The following is a 23,798-nucleotide window of genomic DNA, read 5'->3' on the forward strand; positions in this document are numbered from 1 at the left end:
GTTCTTCTTTCACATGAAGTACAGAGTCACTTATTCAAGTTCTTTTTCAAAGACCTTTAAGATTTTGATTCAAAAACATAAATTAGTATGGAGAGAATTGACATCTTTATAATATATTTGGCCTCCCTAACCAGGAACATGTTATGGCTTCTCCATTTAGTCAAGACTTCTCTGGTGACCTTGGTAAAGTTTGTAGATTCTTCTTTCCCCAGTTTATGTCCATTTCTTGTTAGATTTATTCCTAAATATGTGTATGTTCAATTGCTAAAGGAAATAGGATTTCTCCCCACTATAAATTCCTTTTATCTCACCTAAAACTGGGTAAGTTTCCCTTTATTCCTACAATACAGTTTACATTATATGCCCATGACAAAATACTAGTGTTAGTAGTTCTCCTTACATGTGGTGTCTCATGCCTGTAATTCTAGCACTTTGGGAGGCCGAGGCAGGAGGATCTCTTGAATCCAGGAGTTTGAGACCAGCCTGGGCAACATAGTGAGATCTCATCTCTACAAAAAAAAAAAAAAAAAAAAAAAAAATTGCTGGGTATGGTGGTGCATGTCTGTAGTCCCAGTTTCCTAAGTTAGCTTCATTTTTAATAAGAGCCAGTTGTTTCAGCAAGAATCGCTTGAACCCAGGAAGCAGAGGTTGCAGTGAGCTGAGATCACACCACTGTAGTCCAGCCTGGGTGACAGAGCAAGACTGTCTCAAAGTAATAATAATAATAAGAAGAAGACAAAGAAGAGCCAGCCATTTCAATGATCTATTACTGTGTAACCATTTCCAAACTTTGTGGCTTAAACCGACAACCATTTTATTGTATCACAATTTTGTGGGTTGTCCAGGGCCCAGCTGAACACCTCTTCTCACAGTCTCTCCTGTGGTTGCAGTCAGCTGCGGCTGTGGTTTGGATGTCTGGTACCATGTGGCTTCCTTTGACATGATACCTCAATCTCCAGGGCTTTTCCTCATGACCTAGCTCTCCTGCAGGGTAGCTTAGACTGTGTACATGGCAGTTTAGATCTCCAAAATTGAAAAAAAAAAAAAAAAAAAAAAGAAGAAGAAGAAGCTTCAAAGCCTTTTTAGTGCCTGGGCATGGAAGTCCCAGATTGTCATTTTCTCTGCATTCCGTATGTCAAAGCAGTCACAGACGAGATTCAAGGGGAGCAGACACAAGCTGTACCTCTTGATTGGAGGAGGAACATGTGAGGGGTGGCACTGTAAGGGACTACCTTTGGAGATTAACTGCCATAATGGCATTTGTTCATTGGCCCTTGTCTTCTTCCTTTTCTTCTTTTATTCCAGGTAGCTACCCTAGACTTCAGTGTAGACTAAGTTCTTTTAAGCATGTTTGCACTTTTTTTTCTGTCTTTTTTTTTTTTTTTCCTTTATGTGGAGAACGGGACCTCGCTATATTGCCCAACTCCTGGGCTCAAGTTATCCTCCCATCTCTGCCTCCCTAAGAGCTGGGATTACAGGCGTGAGCCACCATGCCTGGCCATAAGCTTGTTTAATCCAGTCAAATTTCAGTACCAAATAACTATATTCATTGTCATAAATAGGAATCTGAAGGGGGTAGCAAGGGAAGCCTTTCTTTTAATGTTTCCATCTTCACATTTGTTTTCCTGGATGAAGTTTAACTCTTATGGACAGAAATACAGAGTTCACTTGAGCATGAAATACCAGACAAAGAGACAGGTGTAAATTGGCCCTGTTCTTCTGAACCCTGCCTGCCTACTTTCTAGGAAGGCTAGCCTTCCCCTCTTTTCCCCAGCATAAGTCCAACCCCTTCCCTCATTATGGTTTGTCATAAGAACTCTCTCTTATACTGGTGCAAGTGGAAAAAAGAGAGTATTATTCCTTTTCTTTTTTTCACAAAATACTTCTTCCTACCCTGGATTTGCTAACCTCTGGCTTAAATACGCACCAAGCAAAGATGTATATATAGTCTTCCTCCCTTCCTCTCTCTCCCCTTAGTCTGAAGGAAAGCAGCAGGTGATGGAATGCATAAAGGATCGGGGCAGGGCTAGAGTCTTTTCTCACACACTATGGACGTTGCTCAACAGAATGGGTGTGAAATTTAGTCAGAGCCACAGCATGTGTTTCAGTTTTCCAGGGAATTTCCTCTTCCTAACTGTAGGTTTAACCCTTTCTTCTGTGTAGGGAATGCCAGGGGCTACCCAAGAAATATGAAATGAGTTATTTGTAAGAAGGAAAAAATGCCAGGCTTTTACCAGGCTCCTTTGGGATCTAGGATCTCCAACTTACTTCTTGCTAAATGATTGTGGAAAAAGACATAGACTTTGGAGTTGGATAGACCTGGCTTCATATCCCATCTCTACCATTGGGTGGTCTTGGGCAGTCATTGGTGGCAGTTACTTGATCTTTTTTTTTTATTTGAGACGGAGTTTCGCTCTGTCACCCAGGCTGGAGTGCAGTGGCGCAATCTTGGCTCACTGCAGCCTCCACCTTCCAGGTTCAAGCGATTCTCCTGCCTCAGCCTTCTGAGTAGCTGGGATTACAGGCGCCCGCCACCACGGCTGGCTAATTTTTGTATTTTTTAGTAAAGACAGGGTTTCACCATGTTGGCCAGGCTGATCTCAAACTCTTGACCTCAAGTGATCTGCCTACCTCTGCCTCCCAAAGTGCTGGGATTACAGGCGTGAGCCACTGTACCTGGCTGATCTTTTTGAATCTCCATTTTCTCATCTGCAAAATAATATAAAAACTTGCCTTATAGTATTCTTGTGAGAATTACATGAGTTGATGTGTATAAGGTGCCTAGTACAATGCATACCCTCTCCACAGTATGCACTCTACATATGATTATTTTCTTCTCCAGTCTTTACCTCTGGATTCTGAGGCTATCTACTCTTCTTTTGTGCCATGCCATGTTGGGTGTTTGCCATGGTAGCAGCTTTTCACTAAAGTTTGTTGCTTTTCTCCCCGAATCTAATTCCCTAAGTGCGTTACAGGGAGGAGTTATTTCACATGATATGCAGAATCCCTCTTGGGGTCCTCATTAAGCTAAAGGACAAGTCTCTATACGAATGCTGAGAAGGGCTGGGCCCAGTGGCTCACGCCTGTAATCCCAGCACTTTGGGAGGCCAAGGCAGGCGGATCACCTGAGGTCAGGAGTTCAAGACCAGCCTGGCCAACAATGGTGAAACCCCGTCTCTACTAAAAATGCAAAAATTAGCTAGGCGTGATGGTGGGCACCTGTAATGCCAGCTCCTTGGGAGGCTGAGGCAGGAGAATTGCTTGAACTCAGGAGACGGAGGTTGCAGTGAGCTGAGATTGCTCCACTGCACTCCAAGCCTGAGCGACAGAGCAAGACTCCGTCTCAAAAAAAAAAAAAAAAGAAAGAAAAAATGCTGAGAAGGACTATAGGGCTTTCCTTGCCCGTCTCATACTGGAACCCATATGAACTTACAAAAGTTTTTTTTGTTTTTGTTTTTTTTTAAGACACAGTCTCACTCTGTCACCCAGGCTGGAGTGCGGTGGCACAATCTTGGCTCACTGCACCCTCCGCCTCCTGAGTTCAAGCGATTCTCGTGCCTCAGCCTCCCGAGTAGGTGGGATTACAGGCACATGCCACCACACCTAACTAATTTTTGTATTTTTAGTAGAGATGGGGTTTTGCCATGTTGGCGAGGCTGGTCTTGAACTCCTGACCTCAAGTGATCCACCTGCCTCGGCCTCCCAAAGTGCTGGGATTATAGGTGTGAGCCACTGCGCCCAGCCTACACTTATAAGAGTTCTAAAATCATACAGTGTTAGAACTGAAATGAAGTATAGAGGTCACCTGGCCTATTTTATACGGAAAGAACTGTGGCTCGGAAAAGGTCATGTCATGCAAGGCCTCATAACGGAGTAGTGGCAGCTCTGGAACTAAAGATCTGTCTTACTTGTCTATTACTATGGTTATAATTTAATTTTTTTGAACGCTATCTGAGTTCTAAGTGCTCAGGGCCTAGTATGCAAGTTTACGCCAAGTATGTAAACTTGCTTCTAAATTGGAATGCTGATCATACTTTTAGCAATGGGGAAGTAAACACTGTTGAAGACATTTCAATATCATTCCCTTGGGGAGTAACAGGGCTTCAATGAGAATATTATAAGCTACCACCTGAAAACCTCATTTTTCTACAAAGGTTGCCCAAGGGGCACTGAGGTGGCAGTTCAGCTGGCTGTTGAGTCTCTGCTCCCAGACTGGTGAGTTGGGAAGCAAACTTGTTTCTTCTGTTCTTTCTTCATTCTCCCAAATAATACCAAGTAGGGGAAGCTCACCCCAAGCCCCCATCTGGCTTTCCTTTTTTTTCAACTTGAGGTATAATTAACATACAATAAAATATGCAGATGTTAGGTGTTCAGTTGGTAAGTTTTGATAATTGTATAAACCATGTAACCAGCATGAATAAAGAATACACAGAACATTTCATCTCCCCAGAAATATCCCCCATGCCTCTTTGAGTCCCCCAACCCCACACATATATACAAAACCATTTTCTATCACTATGGATAAGTTTTGTTTTTGGATTTCATATAAATGGAATCACACAGGATATACTCTTTCATAGCTAGCTTCTTTTAGCTTAGCATGTTTTTGGAATTTATCCATGTTGCATATATCAGTAGTTTTTTTCTGTTTTGCTTTTCTGAGTGGTAGTCAATTGTGTGGATATATAAGGAGAAAAGGTAGAGGTTGGTGAAGGGCTTTCATCTGGCACGTAGCCTGACTACCCTTTGCTCAAGAGCATTTGGACCACCAGAGGCCCCCCTCCTTAAGATTAAGATGTTCACTTACCTGCTTTAAATGTACCACGTCACAGCATATACACTATTATGTAGCTATGTCTTGTAAAAGTCTCTAATCGGCATCCATTAGATGAGCCGAATTCTCCTGGCCAAGCCTTAGCCTCTCAGGGGGCTGGCACCAAACAGGGAGGCTGGAGTAGGGTTTCAAACACCTGTTTCAGCTTTTTAAGTGTCCGATTCAGGCCACTGTGCTCTGGCAGCAGGGATCCTCATGATGTGGCTTCTTCTCTCCTGCCAAATCCTCAACTTAAAGAACCTAGGCCCTTAGGGGAGGAAAATATAGAGCTGGTGGAGAGGGGAGGGGTGTGCAGCAACATTGAAGAACTGTTTCTTTTAAAGTTAAATGCACATCTACCCTGTGGCTGAGCACTTTCGCTCTTAGGTATTTAGTCAAGAGAAACAAACACATTTACAAAGAGACTTTTATAGGAATGTATACAGCAGTAATAGTAAATAACTGGAAACAACTCAAATATCCTTCAATAAGAGAATGGATAAATTCTTTGGGAGTGAAGGACTTACAGAGGATTCTCTGGCGGCCCTCCTCTCTTTCTAGGAATCATTCTTGTTTCTATTCTTATTTCTTTCTGGATTTTTCTGAATTTGGTTGTGTTTTAAATGCCATGTAATGGAATACCCATTATTTGTAAGTTGATTGAGCATAAAGTATTTTATTATAAAGTGGTCATCCGTCACAAGAAGGCATGTGGCTGTAAAAAACATTAACTCTGCACTCTGGGCTGGAATGCAACTTTACCAGAATAATGGAGCTTTTGTATTAAGTGTGCAGTTGGGATAAAACAAGAGACAGACAGACAGACAGTGTTGGGGAAACAGGTGTTGGCTGGGCCCAGCTTCTGTCCCATGTTTTGTGAAATTGTTTTCCAACCCTTTGAGGATTGCTCCTCCAGATTCAGCTGTCTTAAAGGTTCTGTCAGCACCTTTCGAGCAAATAAGGTGTGACTTTTCAGGGTACTGCTGCTTCCATAAGCTTTATTTGTTTACTGTCCAGCTCACAGACATGTCTAGAGACAGCAGTGGCAAGTGATTACCATACTTATCCTAGCTCCATCTATTTTTGACGCTTTTGTTTTCCCCATCAGTAAAATGGGAAATATCCCTTATCATAAAGTTCTTGAGCCTTTTAGCATGAGGGTGGCTGAAACAGCATAAAGACTTCTTAATCTGGCTGGGCACAGTGGCTCATGCCTATAATCCTAGCACTTTGGGAGGCCAAGGAAGGAGGATCACTTGAACCCAGGAGTTCAAAACCAGCCTGGGAAATAATAGCAGGACCTCGTCTCTACAAAGAAAAAATTTTTTTTAATTAGCCAAGTGTGGTGGCACACGCTTTAGTCCCAGCTACTTGGGAGGCTGAGGTGGAAGGATTACTTGAGAGGTTGCAGTGAGCCGAGACTGTGCCACTGCACTCCAGCCAGGGTGACAGAGTGAAACCCTCTCTCAAAAAAAATAAAAATAAAAAGACCCCTTAGTCTTGTTGTCACTAAGAATTTATGATATGCTGCTGTAGTAACTATTTCCAGCTCTTGGGAAAACATTAACTCTGTACTCTGATAGTACAGTAAGTGAGAGTGAATAAGTAAGGTCCTATACACTGAAGGGATAGGGAAAGGTTACTTATCAGTCCTGTTATTGAGACTGGGGACTGTCTGATTCTTCTCCAGGAGCTTTGACTATTATCTCTTCAGGCTTTTTCATCATCTGTAAACTTTGCTAATGTCAGTTCAGAATTTAGTTCTTTTTAATTTCCTCTTTGTCTTTTTCAGGGCTGGTAGAGAAGACCTGACATAGTTATAATTGATAATAAACCTATAATGCTGCTGTTGAACAATGAAATTTTTTACTAGACTCTGAAAGGAATTTGTATTGAAAAAGCTGCTCCAAGTGTAATGACTGCATAAAGCTGGGGTAAATTGTTCTGTTGTCAAGTATACCAACAGAAGTTTTTAATTTCTCCTGGGCTTTCAGATTGCCTGCTTAAGTTGGGGCTTGGTCTTCTACAGTGCATGCAGAAAACAACAAGGCAGAGTGAAGGGCCACAGTAGCTCTGGTTTGTCTGTATGCTATAGCTGAATTGCTTGCCTTTCAATATGTGCCAATTTCCTCTAGAAAGAAGAGAACTAGTATTTAAGGTTGATACGCATCAAACTTGTGCTTTCAGTAAGACAGATGGATCAGTCTGTCCTTGGGTCTCTGAGATATGATTGAGGCCAGTCCCTGTGGGCCTCATTTATCCCTGCCAGCCTTGTTAAAGGGGCCTCACTCTCCCTCTTTGGATTAGGAGGGAACCTAGGTAAACCTGACACTTAATTTGTATGGCAGTACTACAAGCAATAACTAACAATGTTTAGTCACTGGTTAGGAGAAGGAGAGGTGCAGAAGAAACTTCAGTTCTAGGATGGTTGAGTTTTAAAATTTTTTGTTTTGTTTTGTTTTTGAGACGGAGTCTTGCTCTGTCTCCCAGGCTGGAGTGCAGTGGCACAATCTCGGCTCACTGCAAGCTCCGCCTCCCAGGTTCACTCCATTCTCCTGCCTCAGCCTCCTGAGTAGCTGGGACTACAGGTGCCCGCCACCACACCCGGCTAATTTTTTGTATTTTTAGTAGAGATAGGGTTTCACCGTGTTAACCAGGATGGTCTCAATCTCCTGATCTCATGATCCACCTGCCTCGGCCTCCCAAAGTGCTGGGATTACAGGTGTGAGCCACCAAGCCCGGCCAAGTTTTAAATTTTTGTCATCCAAGTCATGCAGTTAATATATCTAGTAGTAAACTTATACAATAGGCCAGGCACAGTGGCTTATGCCTATAATCCCAGCACTTTGGGAGGCTGAGGCAGGAGGATCATTTAAGGCCAGGAGTTCAAGACCAGCCTGGGCAACATAGCAAGACCCCCTATCTACAAAAAATTTAAAAAATTAGCTGGGCATGGTGGCACATGCCAGTAGTCTTAGCCACTCAGGAGTTGGTAGTCTTAGCCACTCAGGAGTCTGAGGCAGAAGGATTGCTTTTGAGCCTAGGACTTTGAGTTTGCAGTGAGCTATAATTGCACCATGGTACTCCAGCCTGAGCAACAGAGCAAGACTCTGTCTCAAAACAAACAAACAAACAAAAAGCCCCCTGTACCATAGCATGGTATAATATTGAAGAGTATAATACAGTGGCTTTGGAGTCACAATAGACCTGGATTCAAATTTTATCTCTTCCACTTGCTGTGTGACCTTGGGTAAGTCACTTAACCTCTTAGAGCCTCGGTGTCCTTATCTGTAAAGTGAGGACAGTAACACTATTTCCCAGAGTTATTGGGAGGATAAAATAAAATTATATATGGTAATTATGTTTAATAATATAATGTAGCTGGCCGGGTGCAGTGGCTCACACCTATAATCCCAGCACTTTGGGAGGCTGAGGCAGGCAGATCACCTCAGGTTAGGAGTTCAAGACCAGCCTGGCCAACATGGCGAAACCCCGTCTCTACTAAAAATACAAAAATTAGCTGGGTGTGGTAGTACACGCCTGTAATCCCAGCTACACTCAGGAGGCTGAGGCAGGAGAATCGCTTGAACTCTGGAGGTGGAGGTTGCAGTGAGCTGAAATCACGCCATTGCACTCCAGCCTGGGCAACAAGAGCAAAATTCCATCTCAAAAAAAAAATAAATAAAAATAATATAATGTAGCTGTTGCTGATGTCTGAGGCAAATTAAGGTTGTTGTTCTGGCAATGAAATGGGATTCTTGTGAGGGTGGTAGATAGCAGCTCCTAGCAACAAGTTAATCTGGCTATTTAGCAGGAATGCCCAAGGTAGGAAACTCATTCCTCTTCTAATCAGGATTCATACATCATATTGGACAAAATCATACAATAAACTATTTTCCCATGTGTATGCTGCCTTTAAGTGCCTGTCTTATCTTTTGAAAGTGGAGGCTAAATCTGACCTGAGGCAGACCAGGGCAGCCTCACTCAGCAAGGAGACGATGGCAAAAATGACGATTTCAGGAGCAGAGATTTACGGAAAGCAGCCTGCTCTGAGATACACATGCTGTTAGGGATTTTGACCCTGAAAAAATATATCCTCTTCCTATCCTCTCTCTAAGGAGAGGTTGAGCTGCTATAGGGATGGAGATGGGGGCAAGGTCCTGACAAAGGTGTTCAAGCCAGAGAGCATATATAGATGGCAAAAATAATTTTCTGTCATGGTCATCTTGAACCTTTTTGCACCAGGTATCTAGGGAGGAGGAGTTCTTACATAATCTCTGGGTTAGGTTGGGGCCTCATGAACATGATGCTCCATAAAGTACTTATCAGTGGCAGTTTTGGAGAAAATATAAAATTATGATTTCTAATCCCTGGGGTTTTCAGACTTTAAATGTAACCTCAAGGTGTATACATTCAGGAACTCCTCATGTTTAATCAGAGAGTTAAGGTTTGGGGTTTTGATTCATTAAAAAAAACAGATTGGGGCTGGGCACGGTGTCTCAAGCCTGTAGTCCCATCACTTTGAGGGCCAAGGTGGGTGGACTGCTTGAGCCCAGGAGTTCAAGACCAGCCTGGGCAAGAGAGAGAGAAGAAAAACAGGGTGGGTTGACCTTTGAGGGATTGATCAGCCAGAAAAGTGAACACTTTCCAAAGGGTTTGTTTTTGTTGTTGTTGTCTTTTGAGACAGGGCCTCACTCTGTCGCCCAGACTGGAATGCAGTGGTGCCATCATGGCTCACTCCAGCCATGACATCCCTGGGCTCAAGTGATCCACCCCACACGTCAGCCTCCCTAGTAGTTGGGACTACAGGCGCACGCCACCATACCTGGCTAATTTTTTTTTTTTTTTTTTTTTTTTTTGAGACAGCGTCTGGCTCTGTCGCCCAGGCTGGAGTGCAGTGGCGCAGTCTTGGCTCACTGCAACCTTTGCCTCCTGGGTTCAAGCGATTCTTCTGCCTCAGCCTCCTGAATAGCTGGGATTACAGGCGTCTGCCATCACGCCCAGCTAATCTTTGTATTTTTAGTAGGGACAGGGTTTCGCCATGTTGGCCAGGCTGGTTTCGAACTCCTGACCTCAAGTGATCTACCCGCCTCCGCCTCCCAAAGTGCTGGGATTACAGGTGTGAGCCACCGCACCCAGCCTTCCCCTATACTTTAAATCATCTCTAGATTACTTGTAATGCCTAACTCAATATAAATACTATGTAAATAGTTATACCATATTTAGGGAATAATGACAAGGGAAAAAGTTTGTAGATGTTCAGTACAGATGCAACCATCCACTTAATTTTTCTGAATATTTTTGATCTGTGGTTGATCGTGTACACTGATGTTGGATCCACAGACACAGAGGGTCAACTGTAATTTGCCTTTTTTTTTTTTTGAAACAGAGTCTTGCTGTGTCACCCAGGCTGGAGTAAAAATGTTATGATCTCGGCTAACTGCAACTTCTGCCTCCCCGGCTCAAGCGATTCTCGTGCCTCAGCTACCAGAGTAGCTGGGATTACAGGTGCGCACCACCATGCCCAACTAATTTTTATATTTTTTGTAGAGACAGTGTTTCACCATGTTGGTCAGGCTGGTATCTAACTTCTGACCTCAAGTGATTCGCCCACCTTTGCCTACCAAAGTGCTGGGATAACAAGCGTGAGCCACCAAGCCCAGCCTAATTTGCCTTTTTCAATGTAAGTGGTTGGTACCATTATCTTCTACTGCTGGCCCTAAGTGGATCTATGGATCCTGATTTTTACCTTGATGCAGCAATGATTAAGCCATAATCATACTTTGTCTCTTAAAAATCATAATGTCAAAGTTAATAGCCCCCTAAGTCTAGAAGCATCCTGAGAAGCTAAGAATGTGTTTGATAAAAAGAAGCAGATCTGAGAAACTGTTGTGTGATAGCTGAGAAAAGAGCCACTGTGAAGAGCTTAGACAAACAAACAGGACTTGCCTTCCCTCCAGGCTAGACTGTCTGCATTCATGTGCATTTACTTCCAAATGGTACTTTGCATTTAGAATCATAAGTTTTAGGGACCTTAAAGAATCTAGTTAAATTACTATCACCACCACCACCTTCCCCAGGAAATCCCAATGGATGAGGAAACTATGGCCCAGAGAAATGAGGTGTTTTTGCCCAAGGTCACACAGTTAATGACAGAATCAGAATTGGGCCTAGTGCATTTCTTTATTTCATATCTCCTGTTGTATAGGGCAGGGTCTATCTGGGTTTGACCCTTAAGCCCAGGCTAGGAAATACAGGTATGGGACCTGTCCGTTGACAGTGTTTTCTGGAATCCGTTCCTGAACCAAGCCTAAATTCCCACCTGTCCATTCATAGGTCTGGAAAACTTTGAAGCTGATAAACGAAGGTATGGGAGGTTTGGCAGTTATTCCAGAGGCTTCTGGCTTTGCCAAAGTTTAGCTTTGATTATTCTTTGGACCACTACCCCTCTTTTTTTTTTTTTTCTTTTTGAAACAGGGTTCCACTCTGTTGCTCAGGGTAGAATGCAATGGTATGATCAGGGCTCACCTCAGCTTCCTGAGTAGCCAGGACCACAGGTGCGCATGCCTGGCTAATTTTTTCATATTTTGTGCAGCTGAAGTCTCACTATGTCGCCCAGGCTGGTCTCGAACTGCTGGGCTCAAGTGATTCTCCCACCTCAGCCTCCCAAAGTGCTGGGATTACAGGTGTAAGCCACCACACCTGGCCTGGACCACTACTCTTGATGTCCTCTAGTGACCAAAAAGAACACAGCTTCTTCCTACGGAGCTTACCATACATCAGACATTTTTGTAGATCACTATCAATCTTGACTTTTGCAAGAAATATATTCCTGGGGTGTACAGCATAGTCAGAAAAGTAGCATATGAGACCTAACACTTTCTCCTAAAATGGAATGTACAGATACAGACAGAAAAGCCTAAAACCAAAAAGCTTTTGTCGTCTGTCTCTGGATACAGAAATGTTAGAGGGGTAAATGAACTAATTTCTTTTTTTATCATGCTATGATTTATTAGTCTGTTATACATGATCCATCTTGTGAATGATGGCATTCTGTCTCCAGGAACATGGGCCAATATTTGCAGGGTAAAGAACATGCATGGGAGCAGGCTGGTGACCCTCTAGAAAGCAAGAAGAGAGAAGTAGACTCTGAGGGCAAAAAGGTCGAGACAGGCATTTCTGAAGCCAAATGGTGTTGAAATAACATACCGCAGGCCTTTTTCCTTGTCAGCGTAATCCAATTGAGAATGCCCAACTGCCCCTGATAAGAGTCACTCAGGAGTGAAGAGCTTTGCTACCAGGGAAAGCAGCTTATGTGTGCATTTTGGCTCAGGAATGTGCCAGCCCAATGCTGGCCAAATGAGAAAAGGCTGCTGCGGCCTGGAGAACACAGCCTCCTGGGAGGATGGTGGCTGTTCCCTTGTAGCTTAGGAGAGTATTCTGTTTTGTCCAAGGGCAGTGCTTGAGGCCACATGTTGAGGCCTTTGACATAGATTATCAGAGATGGTAGCAGCTCTGACATGAGAAGAGAAAATAATGTCAAGATTCAGCTGGGCGCAGTGGTTCATCCCTGTAATCCCAGCACTTTGGGAGGCCGAGGCGGGCACATCACGAGGTCAGGAGATCGAGACCATCCTAGCTAATAACGGTGAAACCCCGTCTCTACTGAAAATACAAAAAATTAGCCAGGCGTGGTGGCTTGCGCCTGTAGTCCCAGCTACTCGGGAGGCTGTGGCAGGAGAATTGCTTGAACCGGAGAGGCGGAGGTTACAGTGAGCCAAAATTGCACCATTGCACTCCAGGCTGGGTGACAGAGCGAGACTTCGTCTCAAAAAAAAAAAAAAAAGTCAAGATTCATCCCCATTTTGGAGAGGTCACCTCATCATTTGGGAAGACAAGAGGTGTGGGACATCTGCAGATTCTCAGACAGACATTGGGCCAAATTGACACTTCTGTTTTAATGTCATAATATGGGGAGTGAAGCACCCTGCCCAGTCGTATTGAGTACAGTATGAGCAGACCACCACCAAGACATCTCCAAAGGGCTTCACTTTGCTTTGGGTTGAAGTGACTCATGAGCCTCTCCAGAAATAATTTAATAATTCTTGTTGTAATTTGTCACTGACTGTCCAGAAATTGGATCCGGATTTGATTCTGGAAGGATCCGAAGTGTTTTCTCCAATGGGGGGTTAGATTTCCCCTCCTTGTGCCCTTTTTCCCCCAGATGACTGGCTCATCTTAGAACATGGACCAGTCACCTTCAGAGCACCTCTCTACCTAATCTGCACTCTGTGTTTACTGGACTGTTTGTGCCTTGAGGTTGACAGTCTTCCAGGGCGGGAATTTTGGCTGCTTGGCTGGGGTGTCAGATGTCTCCTTGGTTGTGAAATTATTCAGCCTGCTTACTATGAGCAGAATCATGGCACTTTTCTCCTGAAGGACTCAGGCAGTTTTCACTCTTCTGGAGAAGATCCAGACAATTGAATCTCAGTTCCCAGCCAGGCTGAACCGTGAGATAGGACACCAGAAACCTTTCTGTTCTAGCCTTGTAGGAAGCAGTAAAGTCGGATGGCTACGAGCAGAGCTTTTGGAGTTGGATGGACCTGGATTTGATTCCTGTTTCCACTACTAGCTAGTGCTATGATCTTAGCTGGTGGGGACATCTCGTTATCCTTTCCAAGCCTCATTTTTATCTTCAAAATGGGGTTAATTATGAAGAGTGAAGGTATGTAAAGTGCATAGCACTTGGCATGGCGCAGGTAATAAATGTTAATGAGTACTTTAATAATTCATTTTATTAAAAGGAAGCCTGTTCTTTCTCTGATACCTTGGAGAAAGCTGAAGCCCTCAGAAATTAAAAGTGCTATCCCAAATTGTACCGTAAATATCAACCACCCGTTATCTCAGTATTTATCCTTAACTTGTGTTTGTTTTATGGTTTAGGAGTCAAAGGTAGAATTTTTATATATATATTTACTTAAATCTTAAGAAATGAACTGGTGGCCAGGTGCAGTGGCTCATGCCTGTAATCCCAGCACTTTGGGAGGCCGAGGCAGGCAGATCACAAGGTCAGGAGATCAAAACCATCTTGGCCAACATGGTGAAATCCCATCTCTACTAGAAAATACAAAAATTAGCTGGGTGTGGTGGCATGTGCCTGTAGTCCCAGCTACTCGGGAGGCTGAGCCAGGAGAATTACTTGAACCGGGGAGGTGGAGGTTGCAGTGAGCCAAGATCACTCCACTGCACTCTAGCCTGGTGACAGAGCGAGACTTTGTCTCAAAAAAAAAAAAAAAGAAAAAAAAAAAAGAAAGAAATGAACTGGTATACAATATAGAGAACACTGGACTGCTGTGACTCTAGAGCTAAAAACTAGAACAATATCTTAGTTATCTTTATTATACACTTTATTCCATGCATTGTACCAAGTGTTTTACATGCATCAAATGAGATAGTGTGTAAATTGCTTAATACCATGCCTGGCACATAGTATACGCTCAGTGAATGTTAGTTGCTATTATTATTTATTTTAAATGTAATTTATTTAAATTATCTAATACCCATTTACAAGTAATAAAATTAGAGACCCAGAACACTTAAGTAATTAAAGTCACATAGCTATTAAGTTGCAGAACTGGGATTTGAATCGTCCACGAAAGCCCATGATTCTACCTAGAGCCCTTAGCTTCTAGTCCTGGTTCCAATACTAACTGGCCTTGTACAAATTACTTAACTTCCCTAAATCTCAGTTACCTCATTATAAATTATTTTCAGGCCCTATTTTAGCTGTAATATCCTAGGATTTGGAGGATTTTCCTGAACAGTCAAAAATTATGACTTATTTTTGTAGGGTATGGTTTAATCTCTGAGTAACAGTTCCCTAGAAAACTGATGCAGCCTACAAACTGCTGCTTATACACAAAGAGATATATACAGAAGTTGAAAGTATTTTAAAAATTTTATAACAATGTGACAGTAGTTACATGTATGTTGATTCTAGTAATAAAAAAATTGGACTTTATGTTTTTAAAATTTTTCTAGTAATTAACTGTATTTTATAAAACTATGGGTCTGCACGGGCTGGGCGAGGTGGCTCACGTCTGTAATCCCAGCACTTTGGGAGGCCGAGGTGGGCGGATCACGAGGTCAGGAGGTCGAGACCATCCTGGCTAACGCGGCGAAACCCCATCTCTACTAAAAATACAAAAAGTTAGCCGGGCATGGTGGTGGGCGCCTGTAGTCCCAGGTACTCGGGGGGCTGAGGTGGAAGAATGGTGCGTGGGGGAGCTTGCAGTGAGCCAAGATCTCGCCACTGCACTCCAGCCTGGGCGACAGAGCGAGACTCCGCCTCAAAAAAAAAAAAAAAAACTATGGGTCTGCAGTGGATTGACATAAAGAAGAAAAAACTGCTCTTCATCACAGATAATTTGACAAGCACTATTCTAGATAACCATCTGAACATCTCACCAGGATTATAAATTCAAATTTGTTTGTTTTTAAATTACATGTTTACAAAAAGTTACCCCTTAAATTAGAAATATCCTTACTAAAGGCTGGACGTGGAGACTCACGCCTGTAATCACAGCACTTTGGGAGGCTGAGACAGGTGGACCACCTGAGGTCAGGAGTGCAGTTTGAGACCAGCCTGGCCAACATGAAGAAACCCCATCTCTACTAAAAATATAAAAATTAGCTGGGCCTGGTGGTACATGCCTGTAATCCCAGCTACCTGGGAGGCTGAGGCAGGAGAATCGCTTGAACCCAGGAGGCAGAGGTTGCAGTGAACCGAGATCACACCACTGCACTCCAGCCTGGGTGACAGAGCAAGACTCTGTCTCAAAAAGAAAGAAAGAAAGAAAGAAATATCCTTACTAGTGATGCCCCACTAGGAGTTCAACTTGCCCCCAACCCCACTTGTTGCAGAGTTGCTCCTGTTAGAGCTTCTCTTATGCTCCTGGCAATCAACAGTTGAACCTAGAGAGCAAAACTCTTGTTCTCCCTAGACAAAACTCTTTAAGGAAAGTTAACTTTATATATCATGATTCTCTTTTTTGGAAGAGGTAGGGAAGTGACATGATAATGAAGGTTCCTGGTGGGCTCATTAAAAAGTTTAACCCTTCTAGTTTTTCATCAGTAGGTTTCTATAAAGCACTGACTTACCAAATGAAAGTACTGGAATGAACATATCTTAGCAGTCATAGATTCCAACAACCTTCTTCTTTTTTTTTTTTTTTTTTTTTGAGACAGAGTCTCCTTCTGTCACCCAGGCTGGAGTGCAGTGGTGCAGTCTCGGCTCACTGTAGCCTCTGCCTCCCAGGTTGAAGCAATTCTCATGCCTCAGCCTCCAAAGTAGCTGAGATTACAGGCACGTGCCACCACACCAGGCTAATTTTTTTTGTATTTTTATTAGAGACATGGTTTCACTATGTTGGCCAGGCTGATCTGAAACTCGTGACCTCAAGTGATCCACTCACCTCGGCCTCCCAAAGTGCTGGGATTAGAGGTGTGAGCCACTGCGCCCAGCCGATTTCAACTATCTAATTTGACAGATGAAGGTCTTGGGTATCATATATCTGGCTATTGATAGGAGTGAGACTAGTCCATTGACTGAATTGTATGCTGTGTGAGGGTTACACACAGAGCCTCGGCTGGGTGCGGTGGCTTACACCTGTAATCCCAGCACTTTGGTAGGCCAAGGCAGGCGGATTACCTGAGGTTGGGAGTTTGAGACCAGCCTGACAAACATGGAGATACCCCGTCTCTACTAAAAATACAAAATTAGCTGGGCGTGGTGGCGCTCATCAGTACAGTGATGAGAGAAACCAAGAAGATCTGAATAATGGAGAGACATACCAAGTTCATGAATTGGTAGGCACAACATAGCAAAGATATCATGTCTCCCCAAATTGATCTATAGACTCAATGCAATTCCTTTCAAACTTCCAACAAGGCAAGTTTGTCTTAAATTGAAATGGAAAGGCAAAGGAATTGGAACACTGAATGATATTGGAAAAAAAAATGAAGTTGGAGGAATCACACCACTGTTATTAAGACTTAGTATAAGCCGGGCATGGTGGCTCACGCCTATAATCCCAGCACTTTGGAAGGCCGAGACGGGTGGATCACCTGAGGTCAGGAGTTCAAGACCAGCCTGGCCAACATGGCAAAATCTCGTCTATACTAAAAATACAAAAATTAGCCAGACGAGGTGGTGTGTGCCTGTAATCCCAACTACTCAGGAGGCTGAGGCATGAGAATCACTTGAACCCGGGAGGTAGAGGTTGCAGTGAGCCGAGATCATGCCACTGCACTCCAGCCTGGGTGACAGAGCGAGACTCTGTCTCAAAAAAAGACTTAGTATATATCGGCAGGGCACAGTGGCTTATGCCTGTAATGCCAGCACTTTGGGAGGCTGAGGCGGACAGATCACAGGGTCAAGAGATCGAGACCATCCTGGCCAACATGGTGAAACCCCGTCTCTACTAAAAGTACAAAAAAATTAACTGGGCGTGGTGGCACGTTCCTGTAGTCCCAGCTACTCAGGAGGCTGAGGCAGGAGAATCGCTTGAACCCAGGAGGCAAGGTTGCAGTGAGCCAAGATCGAGCCACTGCACTCTAGCCTGGGTAACAGAGCAAGACTCCGTCTCAAAAAAAAAAAGACTTAGTATATATTTATAATAATTAACACAGTGTCGTGTTGTCAGACTTAGACACATAGATCAATGAAACAGAACAGAACCCAGAAGAGACTCACAAAAATATGGCCAATTTAATTTTTATTTTTTGGAACAGGGTCTTACTCTGTCACCCCAGGCTGGAGTGCAGTGGTATGATCACAGTTCACTGCAGCCTCAGCCTCCCAGGCTCAAGCAATCCTCTCACCTCAGCCTCCTGAGTCGCTGGGACTACAGGCACATGCCATCATACCTGGTTAATTTTTTTTTTTTTTTTTTGAGACAGGATCTCACTTTGTCACCCAGGCTGGAGTGCAGTGGCACGATCTCAGCTCACTGCAGCCTCTACCTCCTGGGTTCAAGATATTCTTTCACCTCAGCCTCCCCAGTAGCTGGGACTACAGGTGCGCGCCACCATGCCCCACTAATTTTTGTATTTTTTGGTAGAGATGGGGTTTCACCATGTTTGCCAGGCTGGTCTTGAACTCCTGACCTCAGGTGATCCACCCACCTCAGCCTCCCAAAGTGCTGGGATTATAGGCATGAGGCATGAGCCACTGCTCCTGGTCCATGCCTTTTTTTTTTTTTTTTTTTTTTTGAGACAGAGTCTCGCTGTGTTGCCCAGGCTGGAGTGCAGTGGCACGATCTCCGCTCACTGCAAGCTCTGCCTCCCAGGTTCACGCCATTCTCCTGCCTCAGCCTTCCTGAGTAGCTGGGACTACAGGCTCCCGCCACCACGCCTGGCTAATTTTTTGTATTTTTAGTAGAGACGGGGTTTCACCGTGTTAGCCAGGATGGTCTCGATCTCCTGACCTTGTGATCCGCCTGCCTCGGCCTCCCAAAGTGCTGGGATTACAGGCGTGAGCCACCACGCCTGGCCGTTTTTTTAATTATTTTCTGTAGAGATGATCTCACTATGTTGCCCAGGCTGGTCTCGAACTCCTAGACTCAAGGGATCCACCCACCTCAGTCTTCCAAAGTGCTGGGACCAGTGCCCAACCTGGTCAATTTATTTTTGACAAAGGTGCAAAGACAACTTAATGAGATATGTTGGAAACAGTAGGAAATTCTTAGGCAAAGGAAAAATGAGCCTCAATCTAAACCTCACACCTTATGCAAAAATTAACTGAAAATAGATCATAGGTGAAAAACATAAATCTGTAAACATTTTAGGAGAAAATGGGAGGGTGGAAATCTTTGTGACTTGGAATTAGGCAGAGTCAATTTAGACATTAAACCAAAACACAATCCATAAAATATTAATAAGTTGGACTTCATCAAGAGTAAAAGTGTCTGTTCTATGAAAGATGTTAAGGGAATGAAAAAATAAGCTTAAGACTGGGAGAAAATACTTAGAAATAACTGTATCACTACTGAAGGACTTGAATTCAGAATAAAGAAGTCTCCAAACTCAATAGTAAGAAAACAATTTAGTTTAATAATGGATAAAAGACTTGAGCAGACATGTCACCCAAAAGGATATACAGACGGCAAATAAGCACATGAAAAGATGTTCAACATAATTAGTCATTAGAGAAATGCAAATTTAAACCACATGGAGCTACTATTACATACATACTTGAATCGCTTAAGTAAAAACACTGAAATACAAAGTACTGAAGAGGATGTGGAGAAACTAGAATTCTTATTGCTAGTGGGAATACAAAGTGATAAAATGACATTGGAAAAGAGTTTGACAGTAAAGCTAACCACACCTTTACCTTTTGACCCAGGAATCCTACCCCTGGGTACTTACCCTAAAGAAGTGGAAACCTGTGTTCACACAAACACTGATACACAAATGTTTATAGCAGCTCCATTCATAATTGCCCCAAACTGGAGATCCCACATGTCCTTCAACCAGTGAATGGATAAAGAAACTGATACATACAGGCAATGAATACTACTCAGCAGTAAAAAGAAACAAGCTATTGATATATGCAATAGCTTGGAAAAATTTCAGTCATCATGTTGAATGAAGGAAGCCAGTCTGAAAATTGGCTGTAAAATTACATGCTGTATAAATCATTCATTTAAAGAAAAGAATTAATTTTACCAAATTAGCAAAAAGAGGCTGAATGCACATCACCCTAGAAGTGTGGACCCCATATATAAAACTGCCCTACTCTTTTACCGTGAAGGAAGACATGAAGCAAGTATATAGTTGTAGCAACTAAATGAAATCACAGAAAATCTGTACCTGTCCCGATTCTCAAAGATTTTTTTCCTCTAGACTTTTATATGTCAAATATACCTCATGACCACTTTTAAGATAACAAACCAAATTGTACATAATTCATGCTCCTAAAGCAGCAAGACTAGATGACTTTACATTTTTTTATGTACTTTTTTTTTTTTTTTTGAGTCGGAGTCTTGTTCTGTCACCCAGGCTGGAGTGCAGTGGCGTGACCTCAGCTCACTGAAAGCTCTGCCTCCTGGGTTCACACCATTCTCCTGCCTCAGCCTCCCGAGTAGCTGGGACTACAGGTGCCCACCACCACACCCAGCTAATTTTTTTGTATTTTTAGTAGAGACCAGGTTTCACCATGTTAGCCAGGATGGTCTCGATCTCCTGACCTCGTGATGCGCCCGCCTCGGCCTCCCAAAGTGCTAGGATTACAGGCATGAGCCACCGTGCCCGGCCCTTTTATGTGCTTTTTAAAAGTACGTTATGTATTTCAGTTTTTCACACACACGCACACACACACACACACACTCACACACAGACACACACACACGTTCTTCTCTAGGTTTTTTCTGTAAATTTTACATCTCTAGGTGGGGGTAGTAGGGGAAGAGAAGCAGGTTTTTTTTACAGCTGATGTGATCACTGTACAGACAAGCTTGGAAAATGCTACCCAATCTGCCAATTAATTAAAGCGTTAATCTGAGGAGCAGCCGGGCCCAGGGAATGTTTACCCAGGGAGGAGTGGGGGTGGTAGGAACTGAGTAGGCAGCTCCCTATATTTGCATGAAAATGAAGGTGCTTAGGAAACCCTGCTTCCTTTTGTCTCTAAAGGTGGGGCAGCCTAGATCACATCCCTAAACACTTTTGGTCTCTTTAGGAAGCCTTTTAGGGAGCTGGTCTCTGAAAGATGAAAGCACAGCACAATCTAGAAAAACAAATTTAAATTCTGGTCAGAGTAAGGTAGGGAGTAAGTACAGTGTAGTATTCTTTGACCTAGAATGGAATCTTCTAAATTCAGGAGTAAAATTTCATCTATTTAGGTAGAATAGATGAAGGGGTTTTACAAGTTTTAAAACCACATAGGCTGGGTTCAAATCCCAGCTCTGCATATTAGTTGTGTGATTTGGGACTAATCATGTATCTTATCTGAGCCTTTTCTCATCTGTAAAATAAAGATTATCAATTGCCCCTTCATCTCAGAGCAGTTAGTTCTCTGCTAACTCTAGGCAGGAAACAGGCCGGACAGTGGTTACGAACTTCCAAGATTACAGACTGCCTCCATGACTAAGAGACTGCTCAGCCTTTTGTTCTTGTTAAACTTTTTTCTCAGCAAGGGATTATAAACCTCAGAGTTTCCTCTCACCCTCCTGGAATATGCTGCACTCTTTCTCTAAGAGAAGTGACCCTGACCATAACAGCAAAGGACATAAAGACAGGAGCCCACCTTGGGACCTAAGGGTCGCATTGGCTCTACCCAAGATGACGTTACCTATTTATATCACAGGGGAGGGTGGTGAAATGGGCATGGAAAATTGACTCACAATATTTGATGATATTGAAAAATTATTGTTAATTTTTAAAAATTGTGATAAAATACATATAATGCAAAATTTACCATTTTAACTGTTTGTTAACTCTTTAAGCATAATATTGTGGGCCAGGCACGGTGGCTCGCGCCTGTAATCCTAGCTCTTTGGGAGGGCAAGGCAGGGACAATTGCTTGAGCTCAGGAGTTCGAGACCAACCTGGGCAACATGGTGTAACCCCATCTCTACTAAAAATACAAAATTAGCCGGGCATGGTGACAGACGCCTATAGTCCCAGCTACTGAGGAGGCTGAGGGGCTTGAGCCCTGGAGGTGGAGGTTTGCAGTGAGCTGAGATCATGCCACTGCACTCCAAAGCAGGACTCTGTCTGACAAAAAAAAAAAAAAAAAGATAATATTGTGTTTTTGTTCTTTTTTTAAGATTCCTAATCTTTTAGATCTACATGCTGAAAATTTTACAGATAAAATGATACAGTGTCTGGGATTTGATTCAAGGTAATCCAGAGGGAAGAAGATTGACCCAACAACAAAGACCTCTAGCCTCATGGCACAAACAAGAAACTTTTTCCAGGGTTTAGTTTTCTCTTAGATGATACCTCTTCATTTCTGTGTATTTTCTTGCAGAACTCTCAGAAATTGAGCCCAATGTATTCCTTCGACCTTTTCTGGAAGTGATTCGCTCTGAAGATACCACTGGCCCTATCACTGGACTGGCACTCACCTCTGTCAACAAGTTCCTGTCCTATGCACTCATAGGTAAGAGCTCAGGCTTTGTTGCATGACCACAGCACTTCATTTCCCACCTTTCCTGGGGTGCCCAGGCCTTAGGCAATGAGCTGGTGATAGTGGGAAATTTTTTCCAGTCACCTCTTTTCTTGTAGAAGAGAAATAGGATTGTTGTTGGTTATTCATCATGCTAGCTGACTCACGTTGTACAGGGTGGGAAGGGCAAGAGAAGAAGTTTTCCTTGGCACTCTGGCTTCTCTATGCTTTGGAAAGAGTTAAGGGTATGGTACCTTACTCTTGGAAGTTTGGTTAGGTTTGTTTGTTTGTTTGTTTGTTTGTTTAGTTAGAGATGGAGTCTCACTCTGTCGCCCAGGCTGGAGTGCAGTGGTGTGATCTCGGCTCACTGCAAGCTCCACCTCCCGGGTTCATGCCAGTCTCCTGCCTCAGCCTCCCGAGGAGCTGGGACTACAGGCGCCCACCACCACGCCCAGCTAATTTTTTGTATTTTTAGTAAAGACGGGGTTTCACCATGTTAGCCAGGATGGTTTCGATCTCCTGACCTCATGATCTGCCCGCCTTGGCCTCCCAAAGTGCTGGGATTACAGGTGTGAGCCACTGTGCCTGGCCTGGTTAGGTTTATTTTTAAAGTTATTTTTTCAAACATAATGCATGCACATTATAAGAAGACAGACAATAGAGATGTTCAAAAGAAAAGTTAATTGTCCTTCCTGTACTTTCTCAATGTTCCTCCTCCTTCTTTAGGCAAATAGTGTGAACAGCCTAGTTTGAATCTTTATGTTTTTCTATGTCTTTATAAATGAAGTACCATTCCTTTTTAAAATGAAATAAGGCCGGGTGCGGTGGCTCACGCCTGTAAGCCTAGCACTTTGGGTGGCCAAGGCGGGTGGATCACGAGGTCAGGAGTTTGAGACCAGCCTGGCCAACATGGTGAAACCCCGTATCTACTAAAAATACAAATATTAGCCAGGCGTGGTGGCGGGCTTCTGTAACCCCAGCTACTGGGGAGGCTGAGGCAGGTGAATCGCTTGAACCCGGGAGGCGGAGTTTGCAGAGAGCAGAGATCGCGCCACTGTACTCTAACCTGAGCAACAGAGCGAGACTCTGTCTCAAAAAAAAAAAAAAAAGAATAGAATAAAATGAAATAAAAATAGGATTATGTGCTACATATTTTCTTTTTTCATTTAATGGTATTAACTTGACCAGGCACAGTGGCTCATGCCTGTAATCCCAGCACTTTTTGAGGCCGAGGCGGACGGATCATGAGGTCAGGAGTTTGAGACCAGCCTAACATGGTGAAACCCCATCTCTACTAAAAATACAAAAATTAGCCAGGCAGGGTGGTACGTGCCTGTAATCCCAGCTACTCAGGAGGCTGAGGCAGGAGAATCACTTGAACCCGGGAGGCGGAAGTTACAGTGAGCCAAGATCACACCATTGCACTCCAGCCTGGGTGACAGAGCAAGACTCCGTCTCAAAAAAAAAAAAAAAAAAAAAAAAAAGCAGATAGTATTAACTTAAATGTACATGATATAACTATTCATCTGATTTATTCTTTTATATTGTAGAAAATATATATAAAACTTGCTATTTCCATCAGTTTCAGTTTACAATTCATTGGCATTAATTACACTCACAATGTTGTGCAGCCGTCACCACCATCTATTTCCCAAACATTTTTATTACCCCAAATAGAAACTTAACATAATGGGGAGTTAACATTAACCAATAACTCCCCATTTCTCTCTCCCCTCAGCCCCTTGTATGATTTTTTTTACTAGCTCTATAATTTCCATAGTGTAATATAGATATAACACAATTCATGTGCTCATT

The 23,798-nt window shown here is 43.2% G+C and overlaps 1 protein-coding gene across 38 annotated transcripts in view; it reads left to right on the forward strand.

Annotated features, from left to right (window-relative positions):
* GBF1 (golgi brefeldin A resistant guanine nucleotide exchange factor 1) overlaps nt 1-23,798 on the forward strand; it is a 152,254-nt gene that overhangs the window by 91,563 nt on the left and 36,893 nt on the right. For 37 of the 38 annotated variants that reach the window (NR_165086.1, NR_165089.1, NR_165088.1 and 34 more), the window contains one exon: nt 21,846-21,977. Coding sequence is in view for 31 of the 38 variants with exons in the window: in NM_001391924.1 (NP_001378853.1) it covers nt 21,846-21,977 (132 nt within the window). In the remaining 7 variants the exon portion in view is untranslated. Of the gene's footprint in view, nt 1-10,297; nt 10,322-21,845; nt 21,978-23,798 lie in introns of those variants that run through there. The other variant, XM_047425975.1, reaches the window with a different exon arrangement.

The sequence above is a fragment of the Homo sapiens genome, chromosome 10 (genome assembly GCF_000001405.40).
Source record: "Homo sapiens chromosome 10, GRCh38.p14 Primary Assembly".
NCBI classification, from domain to species: domain Eukaryota; kingdom Metazoa; phylum Chordata; class Mammalia; order Primates; family Hominidae; genus Homo; species Homo sapiens.